This window comes from Homo sapiens, chromosome 16, assembly GCF_000001405.40.
Source record: "Homo sapiens chromosome 16, GRCh38.p14 Primary Assembly".
NCBI lineage: Eukaryota > Metazoa > Chordata > Mammalia > Primates > Hominidae > Homo > Homo sapiens.
In genome coordinates this window covers 85289301-85304043 of record NC_000016.10, presented here as the reverse complement: position 1 = coordinate 85304043, position 14743 = coordinate 85289301, and the positions used below count along the sequence as shown (strand labels likewise).

The 14743-nt window shown below is 55.4% G+C and overlaps 1 protein-coding gene across 4 annotated transcripts in view, besides 3 other annotated features; it reads right to left on the bottom strand.

The window, feature by feature from the left end:
• Nucleotides 1-14743, bottom strand: part of GSE1 (Gse1 coiled-coil protein) — a 506689-nt gene that overhangs the window by 372157 nt on the left and 119789 nt on the right. The gene's annotated exons all lie outside the window — the stretch shown is intronic.
• Nucleotides 6707-7001: a silencer, noted in NCBI's record as "tiled region #9478; HepG2 Repressive non-DNase unmatched - State 12:CtcfO". NCBI's record gives its function as "represses a minimal TATA promoter and a strong SV40 promoter by Sharpr-MPRA in HepG2 cells {active_cell/tissue: HepG2}" and the evidence as "EXISTENCE:reporter gene assay evidence [ECO:0000049][PMID:27701403]".
• Nucleotides 6756-6805: an enhancer, noted in NCBI's record as "active region_11269". NCBI's record gives its function as "activates an Ori minimal core promoter by ATAC-STARR-seq in GM12878 lymphoblastoid cells {active_cell/tissue: GM12878}" and the evidence as "EXISTENCE:reporter gene assay evidence [ECO:0000049][PMID:35858748]".
• Nucleotides 7215-7450: a silencer, noted in NCBI's record as "fragment chr16:85330200-85330435 (GRCh37/hg19 assembly coordinates)". NCBI's record gives its function as "represses an EF-1alpha promoter that drives an FKBP-Casp9 reporter gene in an ReSE screen in K562 erythroleukemia cells {active_cell/tissue: K562}" and the evidence as "EXISTENCE:reporter gene assay evidence [ECO:0000049][PMID:32094911]".

Here is a 14743-nt window from a genome sequence, read left to right as displayed (position 1 = left end):
CTGTCTCCTCTTATCTGGGCCTCGCTTCTGGAACCTTCTCCTGCCCTAGACCACTGGGGTCCTGTTCTCATTGTCTCCGCTGTCTTCGCAAGCAGCCCAGAGGCAGGAGGCCGGCAGCCGAGAGCAGCACCAATGGCCGGGGCGTCCCCGGGACAACCCTGGGGGCAGCGGCACTGCCAGGCGATTCCCAGCCTTCTCCCATGCAACCCTCGCAACCCCGCCAGGCCAGGGCCTGTGTTCACCCTCGTTTCACTCGTGAGGAAACTGAGGCAGGGCCAGGCCGCAGCCGCTTTCCCAGGTGCCCCCAGAACTCGGGAGGCGGCGGCCGGTGCCTGTGGCCCCAGCGCCCGGCTCCTGCCCGCACCGCCGTGTTTCCTAACCTGGTCTGCAGCTGGCCAGCTGTGCGGCCTCGGGCAGCCCCGTTTACCTCTCTGAGACTCAGTCTTCCTGTCAACAAAATGGGAGTCACAATAGAACCTGCCACCCTCAGTTGTCGGGAAGGTCCAATGAGCGAGTCCAGCGGCCCCGGGCTCACAGCAAGCGCTCAGCAAGCGGCGGACAGCGGCGGGGGTGCGGCGCCCTCTGGTGGCTAGGAGGGCTTCCTGCAGGAGGAGGGGATGCGCGGCACCGTCAGACCGACAGGTGGGAAACCACAGACCTCCTTTCTGGAAACATCTGGGTCGGGACTCCCCACCGAGGGGTCATAGACCCTCACTTCCAGGGTGTGCCCTGACCTCAGCATGACTGGGGCTGGGGCATATCCTGGAGCCCCAGATAGGAACCCAACCAGAGTGACCGCGGCAAGCAGGGCAGTGGGTCCCATGGAAAACTCCGCCTCCGCTTCCCGTTGCTTGGCCACCTGTCCTCAATGCCGGGCACCCCACTAGGCCTCCGGGCTGGGCAACAACGGCCAGAGGGATGGTCACTAAACCCGTTTCCTCGCTCTGGACACATGGCTAAGCAACATTTTCACCCCCTCGCTGCAGGCGGGGGCCACAGGACTGGCTCCAGTCAGCGCAATGTAGGTCGAGGTGACGTCACCTCTGTGCCATCCTCTGCTCATCACTAGCAGTGGGGAGGCCGAGGCTCCGGGAAACCGGACCCCGAGTCACCTTGTGGAAGACCCACTGAGCACCCCGTTGGACCCGATTGAAGGAGAATGCGCTTCGGCTGCATCACGCCACTGAAGACGCAGGGTTACTTGTGACAGCCGCTGACCTCACCCACCCTGCCCAGCACACCGCACCTCGACAAGGCCAAGGCCAAGAATTGACCTCCTGGAGCTCATCACGTTCTCAGGTTCAGATGCCTGGGCCCCCTACACCAGAATTACCAGGGGTGCTTGTGAAAATGCAGATTCCTGGGCCCAATCAGCTCTTTTGATTCAGAGGCTCTGGGGATGAGGTCCTGCAATCCACATTTTAAACCAGCAGCCCTGGTGATGCTGAGGCATGCGTGCATTTCAGAGCTGTCAGTATCAGCGCAGGAAAGCACAACCTCTCACGCCTGCTGTCCTCCCGAGCCCAGCCCCCTCCTACTGTCAAGAAGAGCCTTGATAGCAGTACTATCGGTGTGTGTGTGGGGGCGGGGGGGGGCGGTGTGCTGTGACTCATTTGTGGCTAATGGTCATTCAGTAAACTGGGCCGACAAGAGATTCATTAGGGTCCTTGCTTAACACAATGACGAATTCATTGAATTCTGCTAAGGTCGCCCCTTAGCAGGTGGGATAAATCGTGGCTGATCTCTGTCAGGATGACTCCGAGTCACCCCGGATTAAATTAATAATGATTAATTGGGGCTCCTGAAAGCTGAACCGCCAAGCGAAGATTAGAGTGTGCATTCGAGTCCTCTCTCTCTCTCTTTTATTTCCTCGATCCCTTCCTGGGCTGTGTCTCCTCTCCCCAGGTGACATTCCAAGACGGGAAATTGGACGTGGATGATTTTGAGATCTGGGGTGGCCATTAGCAGCTGTTCAGAGGGCTGCCCTGCAGCTCAGCCGGGGAGGGAGGTTTGGAAACAGCCCTGCCTGGAGAGTTCTCTCTGGTTCTCCAGCGCTGTGCCCCATGAGGGTGGACAGGGCCATCTTCCTGGGGCATGGACCTGCTCAGGCTGGTCTGCACCCTGATTTCCAGACAAGGCTTGACTATCAGAACCCAAGGATGCAAGGACAGAATGGGGACAAGGTCACGGGTTCCTGGCTGTGCTCATCTTGTGAGACAAACAGCAGGATCTGACTGCTGGGGCCTCTGGGCCATCTGGAAGGAGGGTGCTCCCTCTTGGGGACTGCTGCCTGTGGGGGTGCCCCTCTGCCCTGCCCTGGGAGGGGACCCAGGGAGACAGGGTCCAGCTTCAAGGGCACAGAGGCAAAGGAAACACAGATGGCAACAGAGCCGAGACGAGGGACAGATGTCCATTAGAAAGCACTGTCCCTGTTTAAAAATCAACCCTGCAGGGAGAGAAGTCCCACACTGGCCCCAGCAACTTTCCTTTGGCGGGATTCTTTCCGGTGCCCATGCAGGGCAGCTTGCCATCCACCAACCGGCAGCCACTGGATTTTATCTCAAGTGTGGCTTGCACAGGTGAGGGCAGGAGCCTGTGTCTGCTGGCAGACTTTTAACAGGAGATCATGTTTCCTGGAAACCTTCCATCATCCCAGGAACCCGCCTCCCAGAGACCACCCACTCCAGGGCCTTCCTCAATCACCCCCATGAATCCGACACGTCTCCCAGTGAAGGCAGCTCCTGCCAGCTGCCTGGGTTCTTAGCAAACATTCACCAAGGGCACCACTTTCCTGGGCCCAAAAGGCTCATAAAATGGAACACGGGCTCGACCTGGGAGGTTTAACCATAAACATGCCTGCAGTGGGCTTGGCAACCGCCCTGACACTGACCACCACGGCGCCATGTGATGGGAGAGGGAGCGCCCCACCAGGCCTGGGGGTCTGGGGAAGGTTTGGGGCCACTTTAGAGAGCCGGTAGGTGCAACCACAGGGGAATTCTGTGTAGTGGGGGAAGGTGGCCCCTGGAGGAGGGAACACACTGGACCCTGTGGCCGAATGCTGCCATCCCACACCCCCACTGCATCTCTGCCTATGTCTTCCCCTTCTCCAGCCCCCAGTCCCCACTCCCCCCAAATTCTGGGAGGCAGGATGGCTGGCGGGTTCAAGGTATGGGGCGTGAGTCCAACTACCTAGTGTGTCCCAGTTCAGCCACACGCCAGGTGGGTGGTCGGGGCCAACTGGCTTGACTGTAAATCCTGCCTCACCATCCACACAGCGTGAGACTGGAAGCGGAAGCCGAGAGGCAGGAGGTGAAAATGCCTGGTGCAGAGCGGCTGCTCCAAAGTGGAACCCTGGCAGACGAAAGGACACACAAAACGTGGTCGGACCACTCCATGGACTATTCCTCGGCGAGAGAGGAATGAGGCACTGACACCCCCTGCAACGCAGTAGACCCTGACGACGCTGCTGAGTGAAAGCAGCCAGACACCAAAGGCCGCAGTGTGTGTGAGTCCATTCACATGAAATGTCCGGACAGGCAGCTCCTTAGAGACAGGAAGCGGATGAGTGGTTACAGGATCTGCTGGGAGGAGAACAGGGGCTGACACCGAATGGGTACAGAATTTCTGTTTGGGAAGAGGAGAAAGTTTGGGAACTAGACGGCGGTGACAGTTGTACGGCACTGCAAATGTACTCAATGTCGCTGAGGTGTATACTTAAAAATGGCTAACATGGGCTGGGCGCAGTGGCTCACGCCTGTAATCCCAGCACTTTGGGAGGCCGAGGTGGGACGATCACCTGAGGTCAGGAGTTCGAGACCAGCCTGACCAACATGGAGAAACCCCGTCTCTACTAAAAATGCAAAAATTAGCCAGGTGTGGTGGCGGGTGCCTGTAATCCCAGCTACTCGGGAGGCTGAGGCAGGAGAATCACTTGAACCCGGGAGGCAGAGGTTACGGTGAGCTGAGATGGTGCCATTGCACTCCAGCCTGGGCTAGAAGAGCAAAACTGTGTCTCAAAAAAAAAAAGCTAACATGGGAAATTGTATGTTATATATGTTTCCACACAATTAAAAAGCTTTTTTTGTTGGGTTGTTTTTTTTTTTTTTTTGAGACAGGGTCTCACTCTGTCACCCAGGCTGGAGTGCAGTGGTGGGATCAGAGCTCACAGAAGCCTCGACCTCCCAGGCTCAAGCGATCCTCCTGCCTCTGCCTCCTGATTAGCTGTGATTATGTATGCCACCACACTTGGCTAAATTTTTTCTTATTTTTAAAATTTTTTATAGAGACAGAGTCCCACTATGTTGCCCAGGCTGGTCTTGAACTCCTGGGCTCAAGCAATCTTGCTGCCTTGACCTTCCAAAGTGCTGGGATTATAGGTGTGAGCTACCTTGCCTGGCCAAAGAATGCAATTTTTAAGTCTGCAGTTAAAACTGCTTAATTTCTGCAGAGAACGGAGTAGGCAGAGGGCTCAGGTGTGACATGCTGGGCTTGAATCCTCAAAGCAAGAACAAGTTCACTGGAGGCCCAGAGGCAGGCCTGCTAGGGATACGCTCCCTCCGACCTCAGGCAGGTCACTGGCAGAAGTGGGCTTGGTGGCTTCCCTGGATTCCCCTGTGGCCAGGTGAAGGCTGGCAGGGGGGTTGGAGAGGATATAGAGAAGGCAGCCCAGGACTCAGAAATCCAGGTCCTGCCCCTGGCTCTGCCACCACTAGCCTGTCACCTGCAGACCGGCCCGTTCCTGAATAGACACAGGAATTCCAACATCCCAGATCCAGCACCTGGCGCATTTAGGACCAAGCCCCTTAACAACTCAGGTATTATTTGGCCAGCATGTTGCCTAGACTTGCCAGGACAACCCCAAATGTATTTTCCCCGAAAAAGACAAGACGGTGCAAACATACGGACATGGGATTTGACTGACCTAACACCATGCTGCATGTTCACTGCACATATTCACTGACCAGAGGGCCACGCCCCACAGAGGAACCAGGGTCACGAATGTCAGGAAGCATCCTCACACCTGTCCTCCAGCAGCGAGGACGGACATTCCAGACAGGCAGGCTGGCCCGTGTGCCTACGACTGCAGGTGACTGGGGACAGCCACAGACTGCCTTTGCCAACCAAGGAGAAAGCCCGTCCACCAGCACAGACATAAACACCCATAAACGCCTATGCTCCCCCACACCCACTCCCGAAAGTTCTAGCCCATCTGCAGCGGAGTGCCCCTGCCCTACCTGTGACGTTCACAATGCGGTCCTGGCCCAGATTAACATGCAAAGGGCGTGAATCTGTTTCTTTAAAAATATTATGAGGTCTCGGCCAGGTGCAGTGGCTCACGCCTGTAATTCCATCACTTTGGGAGGCCAAGGCAGGTGGATCACTTGAGGTCAGGAGTTCGAGAACAACCTGGCCAACATGGTGAAACCCCATCTCTAAACATACAAAAAAATTAGCCAGGCATGGTGGCGCACACCTGGAATCCCAGCTACTTGGGAGGCCGAAGCAGGAGAATTGCTTGAACCCAGGAGGTGGAGGCTGCAGTGAGCGGAGATCGTGCCACTGCCCTCCAACCTGGGTGAGAGAGAGACTCCATCTCAAAATAACAATAATAATAATAAATAAAATACTAAGAGGTCTCTGTCAGGGCTATGCAAACAGTGGTGATAGCCCTGCTCAGCGGGTGACTCAGGAAGGTGGCCAGTTTAAGAAGGAGGTGGAGATAAAGCGCTTCTTCTTGGATATGTCAAATTTGCCTCTTGGAGACATCTGGGCAGGGAGGCAGCTGAGGGATGGGGCCAGGCTCTCAGACTCAGAGGGCCCTGCACCAACAGCAGCATTGCATCACCAGGGAGCTCATCAGAAATACAGAGTCCCAGGCCCCACCCCGCACTGCGGAATTCGAATCCGCTTTTCTAATAAGATCTGGACATGTCCCACGTTGCAGTTTGAGAAGCTCTGGGTGTCCTCGCCTCTCTGGAGAATGGAGATTACAGCCTTTTACATTTTTCCCTCAGTGATCTGTTCCAACTGTCTTCACGGAAGGCAATCCTTAATAAGCTGAGCTCAAGATAACTGGCCTGTTTCCCACTCTCATCCCCACATTTCTGCATATGGAACGCAGGGACTAAAATCAAGTTCCACGGCACCCTGAAAATAAGTTCTGCAGGCCACGATGGAGATTTCATATCCCAGCAACAGAGGGAGACAAGGAAATATAAAACTCAAAAGATAAGGGCCAGGTGCAGTGGCTCACGTCTGTAGTCCCAGCACTTTGGGAGGCCAAGGTGGGAGGATCCCTTGAGGCCAGGAGTTTGAGATCAGCTGGGCAACAAAGTGAGACCCTGTCTACAAAAGATAAAAAAGAAAAGGAAAATTAGCCAGGCACTTTGGGTGGCATGTGCCTGTGAACCCAGCTACAAGGGAGGCTGAGACTGGAGGATCACATGAGCCTGAGAGGTGGAGGCTGCAGTGAGCCATGATCACACCACTGCACTCCAGTCTGAGTGACAGAGCAAGACACAATCTCAAAACAAAACAAAACAAAAAAAACACAATAGCTAGACATTCATGACAGGGGCAACCCATCTGATAGGAAGTCATAATTCTTAAACTAAAACTAAGACGTCATCTGGGTTCAGATCAAAGTCTAAGGGATTTACAGATGCTTTGCTTCTCTGGCTAAGAAGGTTCCTATCTCTGGAGTTCGTCTGCTGCCCCTACCCTTCGGCGAGTCACTTCACTGGTGGGCCTGAGGGAGGCCTCTGGCCCTGTGAGCCCCAATTTTCAACGCCCACTGACCTGGTGGCCCAGCTTCTGTACAGATGCTCCGAGCAACTCCAGTGCGCCCTCTGGAGGGAGGGAAGAGGAAGCGCCGTCTCCTGACAACCCTGGAGGGTGCCAGCCTGGCCGGGTAGAGGGCGGGCAGCAGGATTCACTGGCATCACTGCACCCCCCAACCTCCCCACTCAATCCCCCTTGCCCCACACTGTTCTGAAGGCTTGGGACTTCCCAAGCCCCATAAGTCAATAAAGATGCAGTCCACACCCAGCAGGCACAGAGTGAGGTCAAAGGAGGAAAGATCGGGCACTGGCCGGGGAAGCGCCGGGGGAGCAGCCTGGGCGTGCCGACAGACCCCCTGGGTTCAGACCCCACCCCCGCCCTCACAGACTGCAAGACTCCAGGCAAGCTGTGGACTGGCCCATGCCTCAGTCTCCCCGACTGTTACATGCAGCAAGTGACAGTCCCTTCCTCCCAGGGTCTCTGTAAGAATGGAAGGAGTTAGGACATGAAAGGGAGGGAAGCCAAGGCTCTGAAAGAATCGGTGCACAGTCAGCGTTAGCCCAGGTCGTTTGCACAGAGGAAGAAGTTGAAGGGCGCTCAGAAATGGGTTCATGCTGCACACTTTTTGTTTGTTTGTTTTTGGTTTTTGTTTGTTTGGAGAAGGAATCTTGCTCTGTCACTCCGGCTGGAGTGCAGTGGTGCGATCTTGGCTCACTGCAACCTCCACCTCCTGGGCTCAAACGATTCTAGTGCCTCAGCATCCCGAGTAGCTGGGATTACAGGTGTGCACCACCACATCCGGCTAATTTTTTTTGTATTTTAGCAGAGTCGGGGTTTCACCATGTTGCCCAGGCTGATCTTGAACTCCTGAGCTCAGGCAGTCCACCCAGCTCGGCCTCCCAAAGTGCTGGGATTATAGGCGGGAGCCACTGCACCCGGCCCTTTGTTTTGTTTTAATGAAACTACCTGACCCCGCTTTGTGCCTGGGTGTCCGTGCTCACACATGATGAGCCGTGCGTGGGAGGTGGTTAGAGACTGGCCACGGGGAGGGACGGGCAGTGTTCGCACAGGCTGTCCCCTTCCCTAGCGTGCCTTTCGTACCTTGTGCAGTTCAGAAATCACCTCCTCTCCGCTCCCACATCCCCCCTCAGCCTTGAAACAGCTTTCATCCCTACATTTCCCAAGCCGGCCTCCTGGTTCTCAGCCTGCAAAGCTGATCCAAACTGGCTCCGAGGAGAGCTGTGGTGCCGGCTTCCTGGATGGGTGCTCCAAAAGGCTGGATTGCAGTGCAGCAGTGACGGTCGCCCTTCCTTTTACAAATAAGGGCCCAAAGCAAGGGACCATTAAAGTCCCAAGTTAGGCTGGGTGCGGTGGCTCACACCTGTAGTCCCAGCACTTTGGGAGGCCAAGGTGGGAGGATCACTTGAGCCCAGGAGTTCCAGATCAGCCTGGGCAACACAGAGAGACCCCATCTCTACAAAAAAAAAAAAAAAAAGTTACGAATTAGCCAGTTGTCCATGGGAAAAAGGATCGATGTGTGTTTTCTACCAGTGTTGCTGTGATGGTCCTGAATCGTGTCCACAAATTCTTTGACAGCCCCAGCAAGAGGGGACTCTAATTCTCCTCCCCTTGACTTAGACCAGCACAGGCTCACTCCTGACATCGAGAGTGCAACAGAAGTGACACAGCCCTGTAACTTCCACGGCTAAGTCATAAAAGGCCATGAGGCTTCACACAAGACCTTCTGCATGGACGTGACAGCAGCCGAAAGGTGGAGACAGCCCAAACGGCCATCGGCGGTGGATGGGCAAAAAGGACGCGGTCTACGCGCACGGTGGAATAATCACTCAGCCATAAAAGGGCTGATGTGCTGACCCGCGCTGCAGCACGCGTGAACCTTGAAAACTGATTTGTTTGTATTTTTAGTAGAGACAGGGTTTCGCCCCAGGCTGGTCCCGAGTGAGAGAAGCCACAAAAGAGCTTGTACTGCAGGATTCCATTCCCAGGAAATGCCCAGCACAGGCCATCCTCAGGCAGAAGGTGGACCGGTGTGTGCGGAGGCCCTGGGAAGCGGGGCATGGAGTAACCGCTGGGTGAGTGTGGGGTTTCCTTTTGGGGTGATGCTATGCACTGAATGTATCTCCCTCAAATTCAGGTTGAAACCCGAACCCTCGAGGTGATGGTATTAGGAGGTGGTGCTTTTAGGAGGTGATTTGGTGGAGAGGTAGCTCCCATCTGTAATCCTAGAACCTTGGGAGGCCTAGGCAGGAGGATGGTTTGAGGTGAGACGTTCGAGACCAGCCTGGGCAACATAGTGAGACCCCGTCTCTGCAAAAATGTAAAAAAACAAAAACTAAAAAACCCAAAATACTGTGAACGTACAAAATGTCACTAAACTGTACACTTTCAAATGGTAAATTCTGTTATTAACCTCAATTCACAAGAGATCCCCACCCCTTCTCTCTTTGGACTTGCACCTTGGGGTCCCTGGACTTCTGTGCAAGGATCCCAATTACCCTGAAGCACCCATGCTGGAGAGATCATGGAGAGACTAGGGTTTTGGTGGGGGGTGGGGAGGGAGGGAAGGGGGGGGAGAGAGAGAGACAGAGAGAGAGAGAGAGAGAGAGAGAGAGAGAGAGAGAGAGAGTGAGAGGCGTGCTGGCAAGATCCAGGAAGGCTGAATGTGACCCCAGCCTGTAACCCTGAAATTCAGCCCCACACTGTTGAGAAACTGTCAGGCACCAACATGAGGCAAAAGAACAGCCTGGGCAGCATCTGTAATAGCAGAACCTGGAACCAACCTCCCTCCATTGACGGAACACGAACGAACAAATGTCACCCATGGAACACCACGCAGCTGGGACAAGGGCCAGCAGGGCCTGCACGAGTCACTCAGAGTAAACCTCACACTTTAAGCGCAGACTCCAGAGGGTACAGGTTCCATGTGACCATTTATCCAGGGTTTACCAACAGGCAAAACAAAACCAGAGGTGGACTCTGACTGGAGCCATATGCCCTGAAAGTCTAAAGGAAGCATCAGGTTTTCAAGAGTGGGCTGCTCTGGGGTGGAGGGAAGGAGGCAGAAGGGACCCCGGGGATCTCATCTGCAGCTGGAGAGATGCCAGCTGGAACAGGCCACCTGGCTTGGCTGTTGCGGGGAGCCAGGCTATGCTCTGGAGTCTTTGCCGGTGTTTTCTCATTTCACCAGCGGCCGGGGAGGAGGCATCACTGCTGCCATCCCCATTGCACAGAGGGCGCCTCGAAGCATGGGGAGGCATCATGCTGGGTTGGCATTGCTCCCGAGACTTCAGGTCCACCACAGACTCAGCACATGACCTCCTTTGGAAAGTGGGTCTTTGAGATGTAATTATGACCAGATGAGGTCATGCTGGGTTAAGGTGGGTCCCCATCCAAAGACTGGTGTCCTCCGTAGAAGGCCGCGTGAAGACACACAGAGAAGGTCACATGATGGCAGAGGCAGCGATCACAGCGATGAAGTTCAGTGATCGGAGAGATGGCTTCTAGGAGCCAAGGAACCCCAAGGACTGTGGGCAATGCCAGAAACTGGAAGAAAGGCCCGGACAGATTCCCACTCTAGCTCCAGCAGAAGGAAGCCGTCCCGCTGACACCCTGATTCCGGACTTCGGATCTCCAGAACTGTGAGAGAATACATTTCTACTGTTTCAAGCTACTTTTTAAAAAAAATTTTTTTTTGAAATGGAATCTCACTCACTCTATCCCCTGGGCTGGAATGCAGGGGCTCAATCTCAGCTCACTGTAACCTCCACCTCCCGGGTTCAAGCGATTCTCCTGCCTCAGCCTCCCGAGTTGCTGGGATTACGGGCACACACCACCACGCCCAGCTGATTTTTGTATTTTTAGCAGGGACAGGGTTTCACCATGTTGACCAGGCTGGTCTCAAACTCCTGAGTTCAAGTGATGCACCCGCCTCGGCCTCCCAGAGGGCTGGGATTATAGGTGTGAGCCACCGTGCCAGGCCAAGCCACCACTTTTGTGGTGATTTGTTACAGGACACTAACAGGACACGGGACACTACCACAGGCCTATCACTCATCCAATCACTAACAGAAAAAGTACAGCGATGGGGGGACAAAAGCCGATCCGTGACTCTCAGGGGCTGGGCTGGGGAGAGGGGCCTGACCATGGGGGATCGGTGGAACACTGCGGAGAGAGGGAGGTGTTCAGCAACACGGTGGCGGTGGTGATGGCCACACAACCGTACACGCTTGTCAAAACTCTTCAAAACGGACACTTAAAACATGTGGCTTGTATTGTATGTATAATATTCCTCCATAAAGCCAATAAAAAATAAAGCAATTTAATTTGCGTGCACACACAGCTATTCATCACAAGAGGTAATGTCTAGCATTGTCCCTGTTTCACAGACAATGGAATGTTCTGGGACCACACAGAGGTGACGGGTGTGCACTGTCGTGAATGTGTGAAATGCCCCCGAACTGTACACTTACCAGTGGTTCATTCTGGCCGGGCGCAGTGGCTCACACCTGTAATCCCAGCACTTTGGGAGGTCGAGGCAGGTGGATCACCTGAGATCACGAGTTTGAGACCAGCCTGGCCAATATGTCGAAACCCCATCTCTAAAGATACAAAAATTAGGCCAGGCACAGTGGCTCCGGCCTGTAATCCCAGCACTTTGGGGGGCCGAGGCAGGTGGATCACAAGGTCACAAGATCGAGACCATCCTGGCCAACATGGTGAAACCCCATCTCTACTAAAAATACAAAAATTAGCTGGACGTGGTGGCACGTGCTTGTAATCCCAGCTACTCGGGAGGCTGAGGCAGGAGAATCGCTTGAACCCGGGAGGCGGAGGTTGCAGTGAGCCAAGATCGCGCCACTGCACTCCAGCCTGTTGACAGAGCAAGACTCTGTCTCAGAAAACAAAAAAAAAAAACAAAAACAAAAAAACAACAAAAATTAGCTGGGCATGGTGGCGTGCACCTGTAGTCCTCGCTACTAGAGAGGCTGAGGTATGAGAATTGCTTTAACCCAGGAGGCGGAGGATGCAGTGAGCCAAGATTGCGCCACTGCACTCCAGCCTGGGTGACAGTGAGACCCTGCCTCAAAAAAAAAAAAAAAAGGTTCATTCTTTTGTGTGAATTTCACCTTCAGTTACAACAAATTAACCAAAGCCCAGAGAGGTTAAGCAATGTGCCCAAAGCTGCACAGCAAGTAGCTGGGAATATGGGGGGCGGCACCTCCCATGCTGAGGGTGGATTTCCTGATCACCTCTCTGCCTCCTTTACGGGGCTCCCAGGGTCAAGGGCAGGGCTGCCTTATTTCTATGTAAGTCCCCATAGCCTGACCCGGTCAACCCAAAGCCGGCTCTAATAAAAGCAGGAGGGAAATAAGGGCCCTTTGTGGTGAGAGGGACGAGTGTTTTGTGCTGGCGGGGGGATGGGGAGGAAGGCAGACAACCAGGAGGTTATGGGCCCCACGGAGAGGCCTGGGAGGTGGCCTCTGGCCTCTGGGCCTCTGCCCCCAGCCTGACCTTCACCCCTAACCCCCACAGGGTGAGGGCAGTGTAGGGAGGGTCTCCCCGGGGTCAGGGGCCCAGCTGGGCTCTGTCAGCAGCTGCGGCTGGCCGGGCGGAAAAGGGCGGGGACGAGGCCCAGCCTCCTTACCAGGCGGTGGCCACACACTGCGCACAAGCCGGCCCTGAGCCCTGTGGGGAAGTCTGCCCTGCCAGGGCCGACAGCCCTTTATTCGACCCCATGGGACACCAGGGCTCACGCGGGGGCCGGGGGAGGAGGCTGGGGAGGGCGGCGTCCCCTCCGAGGGTGGTAGCAGGTCCAGTGGAAGAGAAGGATCCAGAAAATGCTGCTGGATTCAGGAAGGAAAAAATCCAGCACAAGCCAGATGGGCACAAAGGCGCCCTTCTGCAGAGCGGGCTGCCCAGGGGGGCTGGTGCCACCCTTGGGACAGGGAGGAGGAGGGTGAGGAGGGACGCCTGGCTCCTACTCAAGCTCTGAGCAGGCTCAAGGTGATCAGGAGACCTCAGCTTGGATCTGCAGCCTGGTGTCCAGCTCTGCTGAGAGACCCTGGGTGAGGGACATACCCACTACATGCCTCAGTTTCCCCTTCTGTAAAATGGGGATAATGACAGTGCCAACCTCCCAGGGCTGCTGTAAGGATTCCATGAAATGCTGGATGTCACATGTGTGGACAGTGTCTGCCTGAATCAGGCTTTGCTGTTCTCGTGATTATTCCAGGCCTGCAGCCCCCTCCCATGTCTGTCTGCTACGGCTCTGACACTGAGAACGGGCACTTCCCTGCTCCCTGCTTGGGGACCCGGCAGACACTCCCCAACTGCTTGCTCTCAGGGGAGGCTGGGTGGGGCTCCCACACTGGCCTGCTCAGGGACGAGGGGACTGCACGAGCTGGTGAGGCTGAGGAGCAGGAGAGAATGCAGGACATGGCACTGGCCGGCCATCTGGTCAGCATGACAAGGTGAAACAACTCAGAATCTACCGGACAGCTCGTGGGTGGCCATCTCCTATCTTTGTGTGTCTCGGTGACAACAAAGGCTCTATGAAGAGTTAGTTATTATTACAGATTATTACAAACAGCGGTGTATGTTGGAAAAAGGTGCTCCCTTGCTCCAGAACACCTGGCATGGTGTGTGCTGTGTGGCCTGGATTTTGGTCTGCGTCCTTGGTCCTTGGGCAGTGTGTAATCTGCACAACTGCACAGGGCAGCTGTGGAATGAACACACAGAAGGCCAAGCAAGTGACGGAGGGTTTAAGGCATGCTCCTTGCCCCCTAGAGGCCTAGTGTCTATCGAGGTTGCAGAAAGAGAACTGCTTACATGTCATTTGATGGGATCAGTACCCAATGGAACGGAGCTCACTGGAGGTCATGGGGAGGGATCCTTGAAGGCTGCCGCACTCCAGGTTGGGGGCCTGGGGGTGACGTGGACATGGCCTTGTGATGAGAAGATGGCAGGGGCCCGGGTCTGCTGAGGCAGGGCAGGCCTGTGCAGGGAAGTGCGGGCGGGGCCTTGGCCAGGGGCAGGAAGGCTGCCCTCAGGAGTGCCACAAAGGGGACGACCCTTCCCACGCAGGGAAGTGACTGACTGTCCAATAACTGGCATCCAAACCACTTCTCCCCTTCACCAAAGAAAACCCAAGCGGCGACTCTGGGAGGGGAAGAGGCATCGTCTCACTTCCCCGCTGGGTTCTGCACCCAAGACCTCTGCTCCCCGGCCTTCTTAACACCCACCTGCCCCCATCACCCGCAAGGACACGCTTGTTAAAAAATGCAAATTCCTGGGCTCCAGCCAGATCTAATGAATCTGAATTCCAAAGAGAGGTCAGGCACACACATGCTCAGAAGCTCTACCAGGGGCTTCTTTCTGAGTAAAACCGTGGTTTTCATCCCCGCCCCAACATGAAGGAGCCCCCCAGCCTGTGAGCCAGAGGCTGAACCAGTTGAGGGACAAAGACCAGCCCGGCCTGGGTTCCTCATCGGGCGACTGCCCCAGGACCTTGCCATGTCCTTCACCAGCAAACGTGAGTTGCCTACTCTACCCCGTCCTCTGCACCCTCCTGTATCCCACCACCACCCCGTTGCTTACCCTAAGCCCCTAAGCCAGGCTGCAGACGGTCCAGCTCCATGGTTCTCAAAGTGTGGTCTGTGGCCCAGCACATTGGCCTTCCCTGGGAGCCAGTGAGAATGCAGAGTCCTAGGCCTCATCCCAGACCTGCAGAATGGGAAACGGCATTTCCACAAGGCTCCCAGAGGGTTCACACACATTGGTTTGAGAGGCCTGGCACCACATATGTGTCACTTAGGGGACACGAAGCAAGGCCTGGACACGAGTGTGTCAGGGGCAGGGGAGCTGAGCTGGACACGGGTGGCCACAGTACAGGTGAGTCCTTGTGGGGCAGCTGCTTCTTTCACTGACAAAGCCAGCCTCTCGG